Source organism: Homo sapiens, chromosome 4 (assembly GCF_000001405.40).
Source record: "Homo sapiens chromosome 4, GRCh38.p14 Primary Assembly".
Lineage (NCBI taxonomy): Eukaryota > Metazoa > Chordata > Mammalia > Primates > Hominidae > Homo > Homo sapiens.
The window spans coordinates 99,939,760-99,961,834 of NC_000004.12; the positions used below are offsets into that span (position 1 = coordinate 99,939,760).

General features: G+C 41.2%; 2 protein-coding genes and 1 long non-coding RNA gene across 7 annotated transcripts in view, besides 11 other annotated features; 1 reads left to right on the forward strand and 2 right to left on the reverse strand.

The window, feature by feature from the left end:
• DNAJB14 (DnaJ heat shock protein family (Hsp40) member B14) overlaps positions 1–6,859 on the reverse strand; it is a 50,371-nt gene extending 43,512 nt beyond the window's left edge. For all 5 annotated transcript variants that reach the window (XR_938772.3, NM_001278310.2, NM_001031723.4 and 2 more), the window contains exon 1: positions 6,680–6,859. Coding sequence is in view for 4 of the 5 variants with exons in the window: in NM_001031723.4 (NP_001026893.1) it covers positions 6,680–6,812 (133 nt within the window). In the remaining variant the exon portion in view is untranslated. The remainder of the gene's footprint in view (positions 1–6,679) is intronic.
• Positions 6,243–6,292: an enhancer, noted in NCBI's record as "active region_21742". NCBI's record gives its function as "activates an Ori minimal core promoter by ATAC-STARR-seq in GM12878 lymphoblastoid cells {active_cell/tissue: GM12878}" and the evidence as "EXISTENCE:reporter gene assay evidence [ECO:0000049][PMID:35858748]".
• Positions 6,463–7,122: a silencer, noted in NCBI's record as "silent region_15584". NCBI's record gives its function as "represses an Ori minimal core promoter by ATAC-STARR-seq in GM12878 lymphoblastoid cells {active_cell/tissue: GM12878}" and the evidence as "EXISTENCE:reporter gene assay evidence [ECO:0000049][PMID:35858748]".
• Positions 8,329–10,516, reverse strand: H2AZ1 (H2A.Z variant histone 1). The gene is made up of 5 exons (NM_002106.4): positions 10,409–10,516; positions 9,904–9,981; positions 9,514–9,627; positions 9,052–9,181; positions 8,329–8,764 (listed from the first exon to the last, which is right to left on the reverse strand). Exons 1-5 carry the CDS (start codon positions 10,409–10,411, stop codon positions 8,703–8,705), a joined length of 387 nt encoding a protein of 128 aa, NP_002097.1. The 5' UTR covers positions 10,412–10,516; the 3' UTR covers positions 8,329–8,702.
• Positions 9,170–9,775: an enhancer, noted in NCBI's record as "NANOG-H3K27ac-H3K4me1 hESC enhancer chr4:100870086-100870691 (GRCh37/hg19 assembly coordinates)". NCBI's record gives its function as "activates a minimal SCP1, AML or CMV promoter by ChIP-STARR-seq in naive and primed H9 embryonic stem cells {active_cell/tissue: H9 hESC(naive and primed)}" and the evidence as "EXISTENCE:reporter gene assay evidence [ECO:0000049][PMID:30033119]".
• Positions 9,257–9,306: an enhancer, noted in NCBI's record as "active region_21743". NCBI's record gives its function as "activates an Ori minimal core promoter by ATAC-STARR-seq in GM12878 lymphoblastoid cells {active_cell/tissue: GM12878}" and the evidence as "EXISTENCE:reporter gene assay evidence [ECO:0000049][PMID:35858748]".
• Positions 9,927–10,016: a silencer, noted in NCBI's record as "silent region_15585". NCBI's record gives its function as "represses an Ori minimal core promoter by ATAC-STARR-seq in GM12878 lymphoblastoid cells {active_cell/tissue: GM12878}" and the evidence as "EXISTENCE:reporter gene assay evidence [ECO:0000049][PMID:35858748]".
• Positions 10,097–10,146: a silencer, noted in NCBI's record as "silent region_15586". NCBI's record gives its function as "represses an Ori minimal core promoter by ATAC-STARR-seq in GM12878 lymphoblastoid cells {active_cell/tissue: GM12878}" and the evidence as "EXISTENCE:reporter gene assay evidence [ECO:0000049][PMID:35858748]".
• Positions 10,347–10,436: an enhancer, noted in NCBI's record as "active region_21744". NCBI's record gives its function as "activates an Ori minimal core promoter by ATAC-STARR-seq in GM12878 lymphoblastoid cells {active_cell/tissue: GM12878}" and the evidence as "EXISTENCE:reporter gene assay evidence [ECO:0000049][PMID:35858748]".
• Positions 10,347–11,106: a biological region, named in NCBI's record as "H3K27ac hESC enhancer GRCh37_chr4:100871297-100871901".
• Positions 10,381–10,985: an enhancer, noted in NCBI's record as "H3K27ac hESC enhancer chr4:100871297-100871901 (GRCh37/hg19 assembly coordinates)". NCBI's record gives its function as "activates a minimal SCP1, AML or CMV promoter by ChIP-STARR-seq in primed H9 embryonic stem cells {active_cell/tissue: H9 hESC(primed)}" and the evidence as "EXISTENCE:reporter gene assay evidence [ECO:0000049][PMID:30033119]".
• Positions 10,735–22,075, forward strand: part of H2AZ1-DT (H2AZ1 divergent transcript) — an 87,212-nt gene continuing 75,871 nt past the window's right edge. The window contains exon 1 of the long non-coding RNA NR_125923.1: positions 10,735–10,921. This is a non-coding gene — a long non-coding RNA (H2AZ1 divergent transcript). The remainder of the gene's footprint in view (positions 10,922–22,075) is intronic.
• Positions 10,807–10,856: a silencer, noted in NCBI's record as "silent region_15587". NCBI's record gives its function as "represses an Ori minimal core promoter by ATAC-STARR-seq in GM12878 lymphoblastoid cells {active_cell/tissue: GM12878}" and the evidence as "EXISTENCE:reporter gene assay evidence [ECO:0000049][PMID:35858748]".
• Positions 10,897–11,106: a silencer, noted in NCBI's record as "silent region_15588". NCBI's record gives its function as "represses an Ori minimal core promoter by ATAC-STARR-seq in GM12878 lymphoblastoid cells {active_cell/tissue: GM12878}" and the evidence as "EXISTENCE:reporter gene assay evidence [ECO:0000049][PMID:35858748]".

The window sequence follows — 22,075 nt, forward strand, 5'->3', positions numbered from 1 at the left end:
GTTGTCAGTACTAATAATCACTGGAACTGATGCCTAAGAAGATGACTCAGTTCAACTACCATGAGAATTTAGAACACATTGGATCTTTTGGATTTATTAAATGTCTTAGCTATCACATGGGATCTCTTTTACAATAATGCGCAGTGTTACAAACATTAATTGGGATAGTACTTATAAACCAGAGAACATTCACTTTTATGAAAAATTTTATCCAATCTTATTTTATGCATTTACCTTCCAGACGTACTGCTCTACTAGGAGTTTTAACATAATCTGCATGTAATTTAGTATATTCCATATTAAAGACCAATGAAAAAGTTAATATAGAATTTAAAATATTTATGTTGATAATCCAAAAAGGAAGAACTGAGATCTATTTTTATTCTTAAGTTTCTGTTGCACTCCTATATAATGTCCACCATTAGCTGAATTGAATATCAGAACACATGATTTGAAAAACAAATAGATTTTTTCTTTTTCACAAAATACAAATAGCTTTTATTTGTGTGATTATACAAACATGTATGTTCAGCTCATTAAAAAACATAACAGGCCAGGCGTGGTGGCTCATGCTTGTAATCCCAGCACTTTGGGAGGCTGAGGCAGGTGGATCACTTGAGGTCAGGAGTTTGAAACCAGCCTGGTCAACATGGTGAAACCCCGTCTCTACTAAAAACACAAAAATAAGCTGGTGTCGTGACACACGCCTGTAGTCCTAGCTACTCGGAGGCTGAGGCAAGATAATCGCTTGAACCCAGGAGGCGGAGGTTGCGGTGAGCTGAGATTGTGCCACTGCACTCCAGCCTGGGCGACAGAACGAGACACTGTCTCAAAAATAAATAAATAAATAAAATAACAAAGTAAAAATCACTTATAAATCCCCTTCCAACCCTCCCCCAAATCCCCCCCAAAAAATCACTATAGCCTTTTGGTTACTCTAGTTAGCTAGCTGTCTAGCTTTTTAGACATTATTAAATTAAAAAAATATAATAATCTACCTGTTTTTAGCTTAATTTTCTTCAATTGTTGACATATTAGAGATATCACCTTATAGCAATAAACACAGGTCCATGTCATCATTTTTAATAGGTGCATAATTTATGAATGCAATGAATTTAATCAGTTTCCACTAATGGACATTTATACGCTTTCCAAATTTTTGCTACAGAGACAATCCCTATATATATATATATTTTTTTTTTGGAACACTTGGGCTGATTATAGAAAAGCTTCATTTGTGAATATATTAATATAGAAGGCCTTATGGCTATAATATTTTCATTTAGTTATTTATTTAACAAATTATCTTTATTGAAGAGAGTAAAATTAAATAAACAGCTATCATTCCAGAAAATCCAGGCCCATAGATGTCACAAATATATGTAAAATACTGTTAGGCATCATGGGAGTAAAAAAGATAATTAAGATTAAAATAGTTCCTGACCGCTAAGGTATTTTAAATGTAGGAGAGAGACAGCTATATACACAGGCAATGTAAGGGATGAAGTCAGCAAGGCAGAAGAACTAAATGTTAACTAAGCATGGAATGAGTAGTTGAATCCAAATTAATATTACTCCTAATTTAAAGCAATTATCTTATGCTCAAATAATTACTTTAACAAATGACAGAAGAGACAAACATACTATCAACTCCAAGGTACTATTCAAGTTTTTTCCTATAGAAATAATACATGACATGCTTACAGCACTTAAGATAATAAAATATCCTCACGATAAGCCTGCGAAGATTACAAATGAGAAAGCTGAGGCTCAGGAAAGGAAGAGGTAATGACAGAAATGGAATTATTGTGTCATATACCAGATAGATACTTCATGTTTCCCCTAGAAGGTAAGCTCCATGAGGACAAGGACTCTGTCTTACTATCCACTGAATTCCCAGTTCTTAGAATATTGTCTGGGACAGAAAAATGTATATTCAGTAAAAATTTGTTGAATAAATCAAACTCCATTTTATAGATGAGGAAATTGAGGTTCGGAAAGATTAAGCTATATATCCAAGGTCACATCATTATTAAATTAAGATTCAAACCCTGAATCAGTATTCTTTCTTCAACTGTAATATCTGAAATAATTTGGCTACTAGCTGAAATTTGGAAATCATTTTTGTAACACTTCAGTTGGTGCTATAGAAATAATTGTTTTGAATGTATAATTTGTACTTGTCACTAAATTTCAATTAAGTCAGAAACACAAAAGACTGAAATTATCTTAAAAAGAATATGTTGGATAATACTCCAGATGTATAATGACAATTTTAAAAGCTACTTTTTAAACCATTTTAAGTAAGACAAAAAGAGACAGAACTTTGTATTTTTTATTAGATATAAATTTTAAAATAATGTAGCAAAAAATTAGGAAGAAAAAGGACTGTTTAAATTGCTATTGTGCAGATAGATGCTGCAAATTATATACTATTCAATACATAATTTGGATTATCATACTTATCCGTTCATTACAGTAGATGAAGAATGGCCTTTTTTGAAGCTGTAAGCCACCAATTGATTCAAATTACTACAGTGTTCCTGAAAACAATAAAAATGCTTTTCTCTTAAAAAAAAAAATCTACAAACTATTTCCCAATTATTATGAAATTGCAATGCAAAGCATTAAAACAGATTGTACCCCTCTCTGAAAATCCAGAACATATCAATAACTCAATAAATGTACAGTTTATTCAGAAACTACAGTTACTGAGTTCTGCTTACTGACATTTTTTCTAGAATATTTATATTTTCTATGTGGTAGCTATTCATATATATCAATACTTTAAAATATTTGAAAGTTGTACAACTGAATTCACTTAGAAGTCCACTGCAATAAGTAAACTGTAAAATAATATTCTCAACTAAAAACATGGAAAGAAACAATATCCTAGATCCATTTGGGGATTAAGTTTTTTGTCAAGAAAAACTCTTGCCAATTTCTGAAAGTGTCTTATGTATCAGACTTCCTACCTGGCAAAAATAAAATTTTAAGAGGACAAAAATCCTGGAATCTAGCAGGAATTTAGTCTCATGTTTTACCATGTAAGAATAATGGAAATCAAAATGTGATCTTTTCTTTTGCCTCTCTTAGTTTAAGCATATCCAGACGAACATTCAGTCAACTTTCTGAGTTATAAGAATTTGGTGGTGGACTAGTATAAGTGAAATTCAGGGCTAAAATTTTAAAATCTAATTGTAACCAATAGCTTCGACTTCCTTCTATATGAAATATTTTATCAGGATCTCACACAAATGTCCTAGATCTTTCTCTCTCCTGAATTCTTAAATTGTACCAATAAACATCTTCTAGAATGTTCTATATAAAATACACTTCTCTGAGTACTGGCATATAACTTTATTTCAGCTCACATAAATCCTGTGATGACATCTTCACTTTACATATAACTAAAGAAGGCTCAGAGGAGTTAAGTAATTTGTCACTGGTGAAAAAGGAGTCAGAGAAAACATCTGCATCTGAACTAAGGTTTTTGGACTACACAGTTATCCCCTATCACTTTATTTGGTAATCACATACTGCCTTACATTTGTACTACCAACTTTCACCCTTACATTTCTTAATTTTTCCAACATTCATGTCCTTAAGAGCAACAAACTGTGTTGTGCTTTGGTATCTTATAATATCTTTTAGGAGATTTATTCAAATTGTTTGCATGACAGAAGCATGATAGTGTGTACATTTGGGTGGGTTTTAAGAATTCTCAGAGCTTCACACTTGTAAAATGGGGATGACACCAAAATTAATTGAGTGCTTACTGTTAAATGCTTTACCTGTATTAACCCATTTAATCCTCACAACAGCACTATGAGATCAGTACATTGTCTCCATTTTACAGACGAAAAAGCTAAAGGCTAGAGAGGTTCTCTACCCTGCTCAAAAATAAGGTTACAAGCTAGTAGGTGGAGTCAGACTTCAAAAGCCAAGTTATTCTGTCTAGACTGCCTACTCACTTAATGTTAAAACTGTCCCTCTAGGACTAGATAATGACTAAATGAAATCATATTCAACAGTAGGGGAGGATTCAAAAATAATTAACTCCTGGCAATGATTTCTTGAATATGACAGCAAAAGCACAAAAAAACAAAGCAAAAATAGAAAAATGGCACTACAACAAACTTAAAAACTTATGTGCATCAAATAGCACCATCAACAAAGTGATGAAAAGGCAACATATAAATAGGAGAAAACATCTGCAAATCACATATCTGATAAGGGGTTAATATCCAGAATAAATAAGGAACTCCTACAACTCAACAAAAAAAAAACAAGTAATGTGATTTAAAAATGGGCAAAGGACTTGAACAGACATTTTCTCCAAAAATGGGATATTATAAAACTAGCCAATAAGCATATGAAAAGATGCTCAACATCACTAATCATCAGAGAAATGCAAATCAAAGCCACAATGAGATATCACCTCCCACTCAAGGATGGGTACTATCAAAACCAACAAAAACAGAAAATAGGTGTTGGCAAGGATGGTGAGAAACTGAAACCCTATGTACTGTTCGTGGGAAAGTAAAATGGTGCAGGCGCTACAGAAACTGTATTGTGGTTCCTCAAAAATTAAAAATAGAATTACTGTATGATCCTACAATCCCACTTCTTGGTATCCAAAATAATTGAAAGCAGGCTCTTTGCATATCCTTGTTCATAGCAGCATTATTCATAATAGCCAAGAGGTGAAAGGAACCCAAATGTCCATAGACAGATGAATGGATTAACAAAATGTGGTGTATATATACAATGGAATATTATTCAGTTTTTTTACTGTAGCTTTTTTTTGGTCTTTTTTTTTTTGTTTTTTTGAGATGGAGTCTCGCTGTGTCGCCCAGGCTGGAGTGCAGTGTTGCCATCTCGACTCACTGTAACCTCCATCTCCCGAGTTCAAGCGATTCTCCTGCCTCAGCATCCCCTAGTAGCTGGGATTACAGGCATGCACCACCACGCCTGGCTAATTTTTTTGTATTTTTAGTAGAGATGGCGTTTCATCATGTTGGCCAGGCTGGTCTCGAACTCCTCACCTCAAATGATCCGCCCGCCTCGGCCTCCCAAAGTGCTGGGATAACAGGCGTGAGCCACCGCGCCCAGCCTAATCAGTATTTTTTTAAAGAGGAATTCTTCACGTTACAACATAAATGAAACTTGGGAACATTATGCTAAGTGAAGTAAGACAGTCACAAAAAGATACTGCATGAATCTACCTATCTGAGGTAACTAAAGTAGTTAAATTCACAGAAACACAAAGTAGAATGGTAGTTGCCAGGGTCTTAGGAGACGGGGCGGTAGGGAGCTGTCTGATTAGTACACAGTTGTGTTGTAAGATGAAAAAGTTCTGAAGAGTCCTTGCACAACAATGTCAATATACTTCACTAATGGACTGCACACTTAAAAATAGTTAAGACCGTAAATTTGGCAGGTTTTTAAACCACAACTTAAAAAATTATTAACTCTTTTCTTTCATTTTATTTTCCTGTCCTCATGGGTATAGTGTTAGAAGGCAATGTAATGGAAAGGATAGAGAGAAAAGCAAAGAGCACAGGGCTTCAACGACGTAGAGAAAAAAATTTAAGAGACAACAAAACAAGTGGCCCCATATTTTCATTAATAATTTTCTACAATTAATTGAATCTATCGATAACTTTCTTCTTAACCTGGAAATACTAATGGCAAGGCAACAGTGTAGCGGTTAAAGGCCTTTTCGAGTCTGAAAGTTCAGCTACTATTCTGACTTTGCTACTAATTGTTGTGTGACCTTGGGTAAGATACTTTCATTCATTCGCTAATTCATTCATTAATTATCAGAAAGTCTGTTTCCACGTGGGTAAACCTGGTCAAATGAATCCTGCACCTCTACACAGAATTGTTCTGAGGAATAAATGAAATAATCCATGCAAAATGTTGGGCACAACTATTGGCACTTTGTGCTCAATAAATGTTGGCTATTATTACTCCGAAGCCTATCGAGTAGGAAAATAAATAAGCTGACTTCAACTAAAGGAAACCCAGTACCATATTCCTCAGAGATTTGGTTCGTCGATAATCATGGTGTTATCAAATCAGATACTCTTCAGCAATCATTACTGACTCTTGACCATTCTTGCCGAAAGTGTGCTCTTCTCTTTTAAAGGAACTCTCTCCCAGGGAAAAGCAATGTCATCTCAGGTATTCGATGTTTGCTTTGGGAACAGTTTTCTACAGATCTCAGAAACATGGAATCTGAGATTAGCCACTAGAGTACACCATTCCTCTCACTTCGATAGGGGCCTAGGCCTTATGTAGGACTGAGAATGGGGAGGGAGGGGGCCACATAAACAACACAGATACAAATAAAGCCTCACTGTGGTAAGACGGGACCAGACAAGTCTCCTCCAGGGAGAATGAAACCCGGACATTTAGGACAGCGGAACGCGGAGCCGGCGGGCAGGCGGGTGCAGAGGAACCTCGCGCAGCATTCCCCGAGCCCCAGCCCGGAGCCGGGGCTGGGGCCAGGGCGGGGGTGTGTCGGGATGCTCCCCACCGGGCCTGGGGCTGGGGCTGGCTCAGACAGGCCGGGGGCCCCGCAGGCCTCCAGGAGGGGCCGAGGTGGGGGCAGGGGCGGGCTACGCGGTGGTCTGGGGATTGGGCAGGAAGAGAAGGGACGCTGAGGTCTCACCGCGGGCCGAGGGCAGTGGGTAGAGCTTCTCGGCCTTCTGCAGGAAGCGCTGGGCCTTCTCGCGGTTGCCGGCGTTCAGGGCCTCCCGGGCGATCTCGACACATTTCTCAGCCTCATCCCTGTTCCCCTCCATAGCTTGCTCCTTCTTCCGTTTCCTCCGGCAGCGCAGCTAAGAAGGGCGGAAGCCGCCGCCGCGGAGGAGGCGAGGCGGGACCGGCTGGGGGCGTGCGGCGGCAGCGGGGAGGAGCGCAGGGGACCGCGGCAGCGGCTGCGACGGCCCGGGCGGACGGGCGGGCCTCGCAGCTCCGCCTCCTCACGGCGGCCTCCCCGCCCCCCGCGGGCCCCTAGGGCGCGATCCGCATCCGTCCCGGCCCAGGACCAACCTCCTGGGCCGGGGCGTCCGAGCTGACTCGGTGGTCCGCGCACGGCGCCAGCAGGCTCGAAGCGGACCTGCCCGGGAGGCGGACGATAGCAGCCGGGCTGCCCATCGCGGGGAGGGGTTCCGCCCGGGACCCGATTGCCGGCATTGGTAGCGCCGTGCCCTGTGACCTCCAGGCGAGGCCCTCGCAGCTCAGGCCAGGAGGACAGGGTCCGGGAAGGGGACACTCGTTTTCAGTAAAATTGCCAGGACTTGGAGGTTCCGCCTCTGGGCCCCTCAAGCGAGGGAGGATGCGGTCAGGTGAGGACCAAGGTGTCAGTCCAGTCTCAGCACTTCCGGGACACGTTAGAGCGTCGTTTGAACCTAATCTTAGGGCTTGTATGGCAGCCTTATTTCAGCTACATTTTTTCTGACCCGGATGTCTGGCTATCCAAAGTACAAAGCAGTTTAATTTGTAGCTTGCAACGAGTGGTGCAGATCGACCTTAATCCTGTGTAGCCAAAACAAGGCAGGAATCAGCCCCTCAGGGGCTGCCCTAACGAAAGCAAACTTTTGATTTCACCTTTTCCGTCCCATTTGGATAACATTACCACTTGGAAGTACCGTGTCTTGTTAGTCTTCGCGGTGGGGGTGGGGGGAATGTTTGCTATGTGCAAATTTTTTAAAAAAAAACATGACAAACTGTCAAAATGACCTGCTCAACCCAACCACAAGGTAACAATTTTTACATAATGCTGTGAGCCAAGCTGTTAATTCTGCTAACTACCATAACTCGGTACTTTCAAATAAGAAACCCTGCTTCTCTTCGATAAAATGGAGATAGTATATCCCCAATGATGTTACTGAGTACTTAACAACTTCAGACTTCAAAGCAGGGCCTGGCACGTAGCACTATTATCTTTAAAGTTTAAATTCGGAGTTCATTCTGTGGATATACAGGACATTCCTACCTATTCTCTCCCTCCCCAAGTCCACCATGCTAACAGCATACTAGTGCAGTGCTGTCACACAGCAAGCGAAGCCAATGTACAAACTGAAATGGTCACACTTAGCCTAAGAAACTGACAATCCCACTCCAGCTCCTGCCAACTTTTTAAATTAAAACTTTAGTAGCTCATATAACATTAAAAAAATATACTTGGGCTATCTCACTTTGTTGATCTACAGATTTGACAGTTCAGTCACAAAGAAATGTGCTTAGTTATTGCTGCTAGATGAGATACTCAAAACAAGTTCCTATTACAACCAAGCAAATTTAATACACAACTAGTTTGGGATATGACCTTTATTGAACTTATCCACCAGAGTGGAAATAATGTCTGTACAAAACCAAATGTTTGTTACTATAACTTCTGCATCACAATTAAAATCCAAACAGTTTTTTAAAAACAGTCAACTCAATCAAAACCCACTACTTCAGAATCAATAGCTTCTTTGAAGCCACAGTAACACTTAAATATGGTTAAGACTCGAATGCAGAAATTTGGTTGGTTGGAAAGCTAATTAAACTTCCAACTTGCTCAAATAGAATTACAAAAAGGCAAAATTGTGTTTTTCACAGAGATACAGTCCACTGGAATCACCAACACTGGACAGCTGTTAGAGTATTTAGAGTCCTGAGATAACAAGGAATCCAGGCATCCTTTAGACAGTCTTCTGTTGTCCTTTCTTCCCAATCAGAGATTTGTGGATGTGTGGAATGACACCTAGGAGAGTGACAGGAATTAATTCTACTTAAGATTTTTTAAAAAATCACAGTATTTGAAACCAAGAAAGTGTATACTGTTCAACTTGAAAGGTATCTTTAAAAACATGCAGCTCAAGTATGAAGTAAAAATTCATTGAGTTATACATATAAATCAAATTTCATGATACAACCATACTTCCATCATTGAAAATATACTTAAATTTCCTCTCCTGGAAAAACTAATTAAAAGCAGCAAAAAATTCCTTCCTCTGAAGAAATTTTTTAAAATGTTAGAAGTTAACATACCACCACCAGCAATTGTAGCCTTGATGAGAGAATCCAATTCTTCATCTCCACGAATAGCAAGTTGCAAGTGACGAGGGGTAATACGCTTTACCTTTAAGTCTTTTGATGCATTTCCTGCCAGTTCAAGTACCTAAAAGGCAGAATCTGTCAGTTGCCTTCCAACTTTCCTTTGGCCAAGATTCAGAGAACAGAATAAAACCCTCACAAACGCAGATCTACCAACTGGAATCGTTCCTCACTATCTGACTGGCAAGATATACAGGGGGCACGCAATTTTAATTCCAAGAGCAGAGAACTCAAGCTCAGTAGGATCCTTGTTGAACACCAGCTCCCTCTAGCGTTCTCTTAGGCCTCTCGCCGCGTTCAGGGCCTGGGAGTTTTCTTGCATCACTTTCCTCCTTCCCTCTTGCCGCCTCCCCGCCCCCCAAACCTTCTCCGGATTATAGGCGTTCACCCATTTACCTCTGCGGTGAGGTACTCCAGGATGGCTGCGCTGTACACAGCGGCAGTCGCGCCCACACGTCCATGACTGGTCGTCCTAGATTTTAGGTGTCGATGAATACGGCCCACTGGGAACTTAAATTTTAAGCATACACAAACATAAATGCACAAAAATGAGAACTAGAGATGGGGAAATTATATGCGCGCCAAAGCAAGGGGCACGGGCGCAGCAACGCGTCCCGACATCGAAACACGTGATTCCTCCCCCCCATATTTATCGTATGGGCAGCCCAAGTCGCGACACCGCATCACCCACGCATACACAAAACGCCCATCGAGAGCGATGAATAACAAAAAAGGAAATGCAAAGAAAAACATCATGACTCCCAGACTGCACGAACAACTACTGACCTGCAAGCCGGCTCTCTGCGAGCGGGAAACCGCCTTTGTCTTGGCCTTTCCGGAGTCCTTTCCAGCCTTACCGCCAGCCTGCGGCGCGCACACGCCCGCGAGCGGAGGAGGAACGGAGAATATAGAATTACCAAGGCGGCGCGCCCATCCCCCACCGCGGCGCGTCCCGCCGCGAGCGCGTCCCCGCACCCTGCCGGGGTCTCCGGCCCGCGGCGCGCCGCAGGGGCGACCCCGCCCGTTCGCCCCCCGCCGCGCGCTCGCCACGGCCGCGCGCCTCCGCCCGCCGGCCCCCAGCGGCGCTGCGCGCGCCACCCAACCGTCGCCGCCCGCCGCGAGATCCGAGGCTGCTCCGCTAGCAGCCGACAAAACACCTCCCCCCACTCTTCTAAATCCTGTCTCCGCGCGTTCCCAACCGTCGCCACTTCACCCCCATCCCTCTGTGTAACGGGTTTTTCTCTCGCCGGCAAAAACCCGCGGAGTCATCGAGCGTCTCTGCGAAGTTTACCATTTCGAATTCCGCTGAAGCTCAAGCAAGCAAGGCAGAGAAAAGGCTAATCGGACCCACGGTGAGATCCCACCACCTACTCCTTCGTCGCACCGCGATTCAAACTGCGCTGTCTCCCGCCTTCCCTGCTCCCTTTATACTGCAGAATGTTCCCTCATCCGGGAACTCGGATTGCTCATCCCACCAATGGCTGCCACCCGCCCTCGGGACGCGTCCTTGAGACTTCAGCCAATGAGCAAGCGAAGAAAAGGGTGGAGGGGCGGGCGCTTCTAATCTCAAGCCGCGATTGGGGCGTGGGGGGAGAGGCGGGGGAAGGCGGAGGGATGGGAACGGGGGAGAAGAAGGGCACCGCGGCGGGAGGGAAGAAACAGAGCGAGCTACGCTGCAGGAGCGCAGTTACCAGCCGGCTGCGATCACGTGCCTGGGAGGAGGAGCTGAGACCTCAGGGGAGGGGCGCGCGGTAGCGTCCCGGGTCCCCTAGCAGGGCTCTAGAGACCACGTGAAGTCTCCTCGGTATGTAGCACGCCGCCCCCACCACTCCCAGCCCCATTCCCAGCGCCTCTCGGGCGGAGACCTGCGACCCGCAGCCGCTTTCCGGGGCCCCGGACACCCCTTCCCTACCCTCTCAATCCCTGGCGGCTCCTCCCGTCTGACAGGTGGCGCGAACGCGTCCAGTGAGAGGAGTCTGAGGTTTGCCCTGACGCCTTCCACAGCCTTAGTAGAGATTCCGTGTTTCTTCCGTCTAGGCGAGTCCCCAGCCACCAACAGATCACGACCCGCTGCTCCCACTTTATTTTCAGCCGGGTCTTCCACCTCTCCCTCACTACTTATGAAATCCTCCACGGAATAGTTCTGTGACAGCAAACGGTGAAGCCAAGTCACCTCACTGGTCACGAAACCCTTTTTGTCTATACTTAGGGAGCTTCTGGCGAGGCAGTATTCTTTAATCAAATCATAAACCATATTTTTTGGAGACTACACATCAATGGGTTGTACCTGTAGCCTGGTGTGTAAAGCTCATTTAGTGAAACCTCAGAGCTATTATGTGTCAACTTTTCTACAGTAAGTATTTTGCCACATGACAAATGTTCGGCAAATGTCGATGGAGTAACTCTGACATGATTTTCAGGCAGTTAGAGGGTCCATGCAATGCAATCAGTTGCAAATGATGAGGTTAAAGTAATGGTACTGTACACACAGTACTATCCTTCCAACTAGTAGGTTATTAACACCTATGTACATCTCCAGCTGCTTGGGGACAGTAGTGTCTCAATCTCATTTGCAGTGTTTTAGTGTATTACATTTTTTAACATAATTGAATAGTTTCAATGTGACGAACATTTTGAAACATATACTCTATGCTGGGCATGGTGGCTCACACCTGTAATCCCAGCACTTTGGGAGGCCGAAGCGGGCAGATTACGAGGTCAGGAGTTCAAGACCAGCCTGGCCAACATGGTGACACCCCATCTCTACTAAAAATACAAAAATTAGCCAGGCATGGTGGCGCCCGCCTGTAATCCCAGCTACTCTGGAGGCTGAGGCAGGAGAATTGCTTGAACCCGGGAGGCGGCGGTTGTGGTGAGTCAAGATTGCGCCACTGCACTCAGCCTGGGGAACAGAGCGAGACTTTCTCAACAACAACAACAACAAACATATACTCTGAAGTACTTTAGATTGGGTTTCAATTTGAAAGATTTTATCGAATTAGAGGACCTCCCAATTTCTGTGAGATAAATTCTAGAGAAGAGCTTCCCAACAATTTTGACATTGAGGTTTATTATTTCTTGGAACCAAGGAACTCTTATGATGTCGTCGATAGCAAGACTTCAGCCGTTTTCCTACTGATAATATAATAATGATATATTAAGCTATGAAACCTGATAGTTAACGATGGCTCCAGGGAAGCTTTGTGATATATAAAAAACCAACATTAATGCCATCTCTAGTTTAGATAATACTCTGCCAGCTCTTTGCTATGAAGCCCCATAAAGGGAATTTACTGTTGCCTCGCTGAATAGTGGTTAGGAGGATGAACTCAGAAGCAAGTACAGATGGATTCTGTTCTGCCTCCTCCTCACTGTGTCATCTTAGTTACTAATCTTTCTGAGCTTCGAGTTCCTATTCTGTGAAAAGATAGTATCATCTATTTTCACATGGTTGAAAGATTAAGGAAAAAGGTATGCAATGTACATAGTAGCATGTGTTTGGCACGTAGTTAGCCCTCAGTAAATAACTGCTATTATTTTCTACATTGGATGCTGGAGAGGGATGAAATAAAGTATCTTTTATTTCTAAATCTTTTTTGCTATTTGGTTTATTTTCTTTCTTCGATTTGGAAGCAGCAAGCTTGAAACCTGCCCAAAGTATACACAACCAAGTCTTCCAACATCCAAACTAAAATCCAAAATTGGTTTAATAACTCAATAATTTTCCTTCAGAGAACAGGACAGTATTACTTTCTGCACTTTTCTCAGAGTGGTATGATGATTTCCTACTCTTTTTCCTGCCCCCCCCAGAAAAGGTATGATGCAAATATGTTAATATTGTTGGTTTATCTTTCCAGTTCCTGTGTTAATAGTAATGCATGTATATAATGTACTTAGCCAGAGCTATGTAATTACTTTTGTTTAATGCCATACCCAATTAGTTCTCTCACCATAAAAAAATATGAGATGCCAAGGCAAGAGGATCACTTCAGCCCAGGTGTTAAAGACCAGGCTGGGCAACATAGCGAGACCCCATCTCTACTAAAAATACAAAAATTAGCAAGGCATGGTGGCCCCTGCCTGTGGTCCCATCTACTCGGGAGGCTGAGGTGGAAGGACCACTTGAGCCCATGGTTGCAGTGAGCCATGATTGTGCCACTGAATTCCAGCCTGTGTGATAAACTGAGATCCTGTCTCGAAAAAACAACAAAAAATCCTCAGATGAGGTAGGCGAACCCACTATTATTGACACTTTCCTTAATAGCCTTTTCCTAACTAAGCCAGATTTTCCATGACTAGTTGCTATCTCCTTTGAAACACTAGCATGTATGTTAACTACTATTGTTCTTGTCTTTTTATGTAGAGAATTTGAGAGTCTTACAATTGGGAATTATAAATTTCTCAACTACATCTTGCCTTAAAAACGTATTTTTAAGAAAATATGAATAAGTTCTCAAGTTATTTCCAAGGATATTAGCCTAGATCGATAATGGCGGCAAAATTCTTTTCATCAGGAAATCTACATTAGAATCTTGGTTCTCTCTACCTAGGGCACCTAGGAAAAATATGTGCCTTCAAGGATTCACACAGCTGTGAATAACTGAGTTCCAGTGTGGTATTATGCAAAATATTGAACTAGAGTAAAAGAATGAGGGTTGAGTTTGGGTAGCCACTTACTTGCTATATGGCCTGAAGTATGTAAAACACTGAGGCACAGTTTCATTTATTAAATAGGGATTCGTAACACCAGATAAACCAACTTGATAGAATTGTGAAAGAGTTTCGTTAAGTGCGAAGAATATGTAGAGTGATGTAATAATATTTTTGGCACCGAGGCCATAGTCCTTCCTGAATTCTGTTTAGGTTGAGAAGCCTATGTGTTTAATTCAGTGTTGATAAAACCAAAGCCATCGATTTAAATTCCAAATTGCCCAGCTTTGCACTTCTCATGATCACAGATTGCACACAGGTAACAATTCACAAATGCAGGGAATAGATGACAAAGATCAGCAGAATCTACTCCACCCAGATCCACTGCCATTTCAGGAAAACAAAAGATCATGCTTTTAATATAGCACTAATTTACTTTTTCCATACATTAGTCCTCAGAATTTTTGGAAATTTATTGTTTTAAAATTAAAAAATCAAGATTCTTATCATATCCTTTTATTATCTATTATTGATATCAATATCGATCTTTAGGATTTTCAGGGCAGGGGAAGGGAGTCCATGTGTTGAAATTTTTTTCCTAAATAATAGTGTATTTGCCTAGGCAGTGGGTCCTCCTTCTCTGTATTCCTGTGTTCTACATCTATGGATTCAACCAACTGAGGATCAAAAATATTCACAACGTAAGCTGGGTGTGGCCAGGCGCCGTGGCTCACACCTATAATCCCATCACTTTGGGAGGCTGAGGCGGGTGGATCACTTGAGGCCAGGAGTTTGAGACCAACCTGGCCAACATGGTGAAACCCTGTCTCTAATAAAACTACAGAAATTAGCCATGTGTGGTGGCATGCACCTGTAATCCCAGCTTCTCAGGAGGCTGAGGCAGGAGAATCGCATGAACTTGGGAGGCAGAGGCTGAAGTGAGCAGAGATCATGCCACTGCACTCCAGCCTGAGTGACAGAGTGAGACTTGGTCTCAAGAAAAAATAATAATAATAAGCTGCATTTGGGGTGTGGCAGTTCATCCCTGTAATCCCAACAATTTGGGAGGCTGAGGTAAAAGGATCCCATGAAGCCAGAAATTCAAGACCAGCCTGGGCAACATAGCAAGGCCCTGTCTCTAAAAATTTTTTTTTTCAATTAGCCGGGCATGGTGGTACACACCTGTACTCCCAGCTACTAGGGAGCCTGAGGCAGGAGGATCCCTTGAGCCTAGAAGTTCAAGGCTGCAGTAAGCCATGATCACACCACTGCACTCCAGCCTGGGTAATAAAGCAAGGCCCTGACTTTCTAATTTTAAAAAGTATGGTTGCATCTGTACTAAACATATACAGACATTTTTTCCTGTAATTTCCTAAACCACATAGTGTACCAACTATTTACATAGCATAGGCATTGTAATGGATATTATAAGTAATCTAGAGATGATCGAAAGCATACAATCTGCATAGGTTATATGCAAATACTATGCCATTTTATGGAAGGGATTGAGCATTCATGAATTTGGGTATCCAAGCGGTGGGGTGTGGGGACAGATCTTAGAACCAGTCCCCCACAGATACAGAGGGATGATTGTATTAGTATTTTTGTGACACTTATCTCCACAGCTAAATTGTAAATACAGTAATGCCCCTATTGCATATTTCTAACATAGTGACCAAGGAAATTGTTGTAGAGATTTGACACATTTTTATTACTGTATTGTCTTCTTTTGTCTGTATATATGCAACTGAGATGGAAGGCAATACCATACATTATACCGCATGATACATAACCATTCCCTAATAATAGAATATATGATAGCACTAGATTGGTGCTGTCAGCCTGTTAGGTAAAATAGAGCATAGCCATCAAGTCATTCTACTTTCCAGGCAATACACCAAGAATAGCAGTTGGGAGATGGGATATGTAGTGCTTAGGAGCTTCCCTCAATCTAGCTAAGAAGATTAAACAGGGAGGAAAATTCAAACAATGTCTTAATCATTAAAACCACATTAAGAAGGCTGTTACAGGCTGGGTGTGGTGGTTTCCGCCTGTAATCCCAGCACTTTGGGAGGCCGAGGTGGGTGGATTGCTTGAGGCAAGGGGTTGGAGACCAGCCTGGCCAACATGGCGAAACCCTGTCTCTATTAAAAATACAAAAATTAACTGAGCATGGTGGTGCATGCCTGTAAGTCCCAGCTACTTGGGAGACTGAGGCATGAGAATTGCTGGAAGCCAGGAGGCGAAGGTTGCAGTGAATGGAGATCATGCAACTGCACCCCAGCCTGAGTGACAGAGCGAGACTCTGCATCTAAATAAATAAATAAATAAATAAGGCTGTTACAAAATAAGTATCTGATTGGCTGCCAAATCAACAGTACCTCTAGTTTAAAGGACAGAGACAGTTGCAAGCTGGAGCGTTTTGAAGAGTTTACGTTTAAATGGACTAAGGAGAGTGTTTGATTGGAATGGTGAATTGGTGTAAGAAGTAGCACTTAGAAGGTAGGACACATAGTGTTTTAGTCTGTTTCGTGCTACTGTGATGAAATACCTGAGACTGCATAGTTTATAAAGAACAGAAATTTATTTCTTACAGTTTTAGGGGCTGGGAAGTCCAAGATCAAAGCAGTGGCAGGTTTGGCTGTCTGGTTGAGGGCTGCTCTCTCCTTCGAAGATGGAGCCTTGATGTTGTATCTTCTAGAGTGGAGAACACTGTGTCCTTACATTGTGGAAGGCAAAGAAAGTTGAAAAGGGATGAACCCTCTCCATGAAGCCCTTTTATGAGGGCACCTAATCTCAATCATGAGGGTGGTCCCATGACTCAATCTCCTCCCAATGGCCACACCTGCCAACACTTTTGCATTGTGAACTAAGTTATAGCATAATTTTTGAAGGGGACAAAAACATTCCAACCATAGCTAATGTTCATCAGAATAAAGCTAAATTTGGTCTTGAAAATAAGTTTTGACCAAAAGGTGTAAACTTCAGTGGTGGGTGCAACATCCAGGAAGTTTCCTTAAATGAGGCAAACCAATTTTTTATTTTTGCTGACTGGATTGAAGACAGAATTGGAGAGCCATCTTGAACCATGAAATGAGCTTAGGAATATAGGCCACACATGAGGGAATAACAAGATAAATGGAGCAAAGGCCTTAGATACTATGGAGTCTCAAACCTACCCTGGATCTCTCTGAACATGGGCATCTATTTTGTTTGAGCCCCTTTTATTTTGGGTCATCTTTCACTTGCAGCTGAACCCAATCCTAACTATTATAATGAGTCAATACCCTAAATACTTGGAGAAAGATAGCAGACTTTACCCTGAGAGACTGAGGAACCAATTAATATTTCTGAGAAAGAAAGAATACAGGGTTCCTCATTTTTAGGATACTAATCTAATATGGGTTACAGGGCAAATCAGAAAAGAGAAAAATTTTGTTAGAAGGCTGATAAAGTTGATATCAGTTAGGTATAAAGCCTATGATACAGTTTTGCTGTGTCCCCACCCAAATCTCATCTTGAATTCCCATGTGTTGTGGGAGGTACCAAGTGGGAAGTAATTGAATCATGGGGGCAACTCTTTCATGTGATGTTCTCATGACAGTGAATAAGACTCACGAGATCTGATGGTTTCATTGTTTTGTTATGTTTTGCTTTTTTTGAGAAAGAGTCTCCCTCTGTCACCCAGCCTGGAATGCAGTGGCACGATCTCAGCTTACTGCAACCTCTGCCTCCCAAGTTCAAGCCTCAGCTTCCCAGAGTAGCTGGGACTACAGGCGTGCACCACCACACCCAGCTTTTTTTTTTTTCTTTTTTTGTATTTTTAGTAAAGATGGGGTTTCATCATGTTGGCCAGGCTGGTCTCAAACTCCTGACCTCAGGTGATCCGCCTGCCTCAGCCTCCCAAAATGCTGGGATTACAGGTGTGAGCCACCACATCTGGCCGAGATCTGATGGTTTTAAAAACAGGAGTTTTCCTGCACAAACTCATTCTCTCTTTGCCTGCTGCCATCCATGTAAGATGGGACTTGTACCTCCTTGCCTTCTGCCATGATTGTGAGGCTTCCCCAGCCACGTGGAAATGTAAGTCCAATTAAACCTCTTTCTTTTGTAAATTGCCCAGTCTCAGGTGTGTCTTTATTAGCAGCATGAAAACAGACTAATACAGCCTAAAACTTACATAACACTGAAACCAAGAGAAGGTTGTAAAACATCTTGAAAGAAAAAGCACTAATATTTTGTTATTAAATATGCTGTTTAGGAAGATGTAGGGGGGATGGTGGATACTAAGCACTTAAGAGAAAAGAGCCAGGTTTTTGAGGTTGGTGGTCTGGGATATAAAGTAAAAGATCATCTATAGAATAGGAGAGGTAAAAGGATAGATGCAAATTAAGAGGGGTAGAGAAAGAGGTAAGTCAGGAAAGTTATGAAATATTGACTGTACATTGACATTAGGGGAATCCAAGTGGAATTTCCTACTAAGTATGTTGGCAATAAGAGAAAGCAATCATTAAAAAGTCAGGAAACAGCAGATGCTGGAGAGGATGTGGAGAAATAGGAACACTTTTACACTGTTGGTGGGACTGTAAACTAGTTCAATCATTGTGGAAGACAGTGTGGCAATTACTCAAGGATCTAGAACTAGAAATACCATTTGACCCAGCCATCCCATTACTGGGTATATACCCAAAGGATTATAAATCATGCTACTATAAAGACACATGCACACATATGTTCATTGCAGCACTATTCACAATAGCAAAGAGTTGGAACCAACCCAAATGCCCATCAATGATAGACTGGATTAAGAAAATGTGGCACATATACACCATGGAATACTATGCAGCCATAAAAAAGGATGAGCTCATGTCCTTTTTGGGGACATGGATGAAGCTGGAAACCATCATTCTCAGCAAACTATCGAAAGGACAGAAAATCAAACACTGCATGTTCTCACTCATAGGTGGGAATTGAACAGTGAGAACAATTGGACACAGGGCAGGGAACATCACACACTGGGGGAGGCGGGAGGGATAGCATTAAGAGAAATACCTAATGTAAATGACGAGTTAATGGATGCAGCACACCAACATGGCACATGTATACATATGTAACAAACCTACGCATTGTGCACTTGTACTCTAGAACTTAAAAGTATAATAAAATAAAAAAAATAAATAAATAAAAATTTTGAATTAAAAATAAAAGAAAGAAAATTAAAAGGCAGCCAAAGAAAAAGACCTAGAAAAGTAAAGTGTGATTTCACAGTGGGCACAACAACTTTACACTAAACTAGAAAACTCTCTTTAGTTATAACATCTAACAAGATGGTGTTCACATTTCTGCATGTGTATTGCTAGCTTTGCATAATGAACTTCAAACCTGTTTTTGATCTGTGATACTTGACTGTTCACCAAAGATGAAATGTTGACATGGATTCTGTCACTAAATTGGGTATTACCAAAACTCTTGGTTGTTATGTACATTTCTTGTGCCCAATGTTACAAAAGAATCATAACTGAGAAAAACTCATGGGCTAAATTCCTTATGTTTGAAATTCCATACAGCTTTCTTAAAGGGAATCTAAGTGCCACATTTGTCCTAAAAGAGAGGCGCCACAAAATAGAGTGTAAAGTTATACAACATATACTTCACACCCCTCCACAGATTCAGCCTCAGGGCAGGAACCGTATAAAAAGTGTGACCATCACACCTTTTATTAAAATCCCAAAACAGATGTATGTGACTCCCCAGTCCTTTCAATAGGATGGAAATGGCTCAGAGAAGAGTCCAAAGGCTTTTCTTTCAATAAATAATCCTGAGATAACTGGCAAGCCACATGTAGAAAAATGAAACTGGGTCCTCATCTCTCACCTTATAAAAAAGATCAACTTATGATGGATCAAATAGTTAAATCTAAGACCTGAAACCATAAAATTTCTAGAAGATAACATTAGAAAACTCTTCTAGACATTGTCTTAGGTAAAGAATTCATGGCTAAGTACCCAAAAGCAAATGCAACATAAACAAAAATATATAAATGGGACCTAATTAAACTAAAAAGCTTTTGCATAGCAAAAGAAATAGTCAGCAGAGTAAACAGACAACCCACATAGTGGGAAAAAATATTTGTAAACTATGCATCTGACAAAAGGACTAATATCCAGGATCTACAAGGAACTCAAACAAATCACCAAGAAAAAAACCAAATAATCAAAAGACATGAATAGGCAATTCTCAAAAGAAGATATAGAAACAGTCAACAAACATATGAAAAAATGCTCAACATCACTAATTATCAGGGAAATGCAAATTGCAACCACAATGAGATACCACCTCACTCCTGCAAGAATGGCCATAATTAAAAAATCAAAAAATAACAGCTGTTGGTGTGGATGTTGTGAAAACGGAGTTCTTTTACGCTACTGGTGGGAATGTTAACTAGTACAATCACTATGGAAAACAGTATGGAGATTCCCTAAAGAACTAAAATTTGAATGGCCATTTGATTGAGCCATCCCACTTCTGGGTATCTACCCAAAGGAAAAAGAGTCATATGTGAAAAAGAAACATGTACATTCATGTTTATAGCAGCACAATTCACAATTGCAGAAATATGAAACCCTCCTAAATGACCATCAACCAACAAGTGGATAAGGAAAATATCGTATATGTATATATATTATAAATACTACTCAGCCATAAAAAGGAACAAAATAATGGCATTCGCAGCAACCTGGATGGAGCTGGAGGCAATTATACCATGTGAAGTAACTCAGTAATAAAAAACCAAGCATCATATGTTCTCACTTATAAATGGGAGCTAAGCTATGAGGATGCAAAGGTGTAAGAATAATATAATGGACATTGGGGACTCTTGGGGAAGGGTTGGAGGGGGTGAGGGATAAAATACTATACATTGGTGGGCACTGCTCGGGCGACGGGTACACTAAAATCTCAGAAACTGCCATTAAGGAACTTATTCATGTAACCAAAAACCACCTGTTCCCCAAAAACTACTGAAATAAAATGTTTTAAAATAAAGGCTTTTCTACACCCTTAGACTTTCTCAACTCTGTTTTGTAGTGGAATGCGGGGGTAGAGGAGCTTAAAGTCATTGGTTAGCACAGCATAACCTAGTGGAAACAAATACAGCTGTCAATGCATCTGAGAATTATCTTGGTAAATATTGTATCTATTGTTATTGAATTACTGTTATTGGAATTTAATATTGTTAGCGCCCAAGCAGAGAATAAAAGAGCAGTGCTTTTGTGCATAGGAATAGATACATGGTTATCAGATAATGATCAGTGAGTCAGCAGATTTAGGATATTTGAGACATGATATTGAAGATCAACTGCTCTAAAAGACTTCCTGAGGATTCATTTCAATCTCAAAACATCCAAGGTAGACATGAGCAGAGCTTATCTTTATTTTAAAAGACGAAAAAATAGATTTAAGGGACATTCAGACATACAATGACCAGATTCAGGTCCTCCATGCTCTTTCTGTAACTTTGTACTTCTAAATGAAACACTTCTCAGAAGAGGATTTAATTAGTGCCTATGTCTCTACATACCTGTGATTTTCTTTGTCTTTAATGAAATATGTAAACTCTATTATTGAACAACTTTTAAGACATCAATGACATTCTTTCTAGATGAATATTGTTTTCATTGTTTCCTACTGTCCTCATAGTTTGTGAAATAGTCATTTCTTCCATAATCCTTCTCTACTGCTCAGATTCTCAGCAGGAAATAGAGACAATCTCTTCCTCCATTAATGGATTAGTCCAACATCTCTAGGCAAGAGCTGTCCAGGGGACTTCTCATATTTCACCACAAGATATAAAAATTTACATGCTGGCTCTTTGTTTAGTTTTTTCTTTTCTTTTCTTTTCTTTTTTTTTTTTTTTTTTGAGACAGAGTCTCACTCTATCTTAGGCTGGAGTGCAGTGGCACGATCTTGGCTCACTGCAATCTCCACCTCCTGGGTTCAAGCAATTCTCCTGCCTCAGCCTCCCAAGTAGCTGGGATTACAGGTGGGCACCACCACGCCTGGCTAATTTTTGTATTTTTAGTAGAGACAGGATTTCACCACGTTGGCAAGGCTGGTCTCGAGCTCCTGACCTCGTGATCCTCCAGCCTCGGCCTCCCCAAATGCTGGGATTACAGGTATGAGCCACCGTGCCCAGCCTTTTTTTTCCTGTTTTAAAATTAAAACAGTATACTCAACTTAATTCTCAAAAATAAAACAAGTCCCTTTTTTCCCCAGCTAAGCTGACAATTCAGAAATTTTACAAAACATG

Coding starts and splice junctions, on each gene's coding strand:
- H2AZ1 (NM_002106.4), bottom strand. Junction 9,182..9,513: donor TGGAGTACCTCACCGCAGAG/GTAAATGGGTGA, acceptor TCTGCCTTTTAG/GTACTTGAACTGGCAGGAAA. Junction 8,765..9,051: donor GGCTACAATTGCTGGTGGTG/GTATGTTAACTT, acceptor TCACTCTCCTAG/GTGTCATTCCACACATCCAC.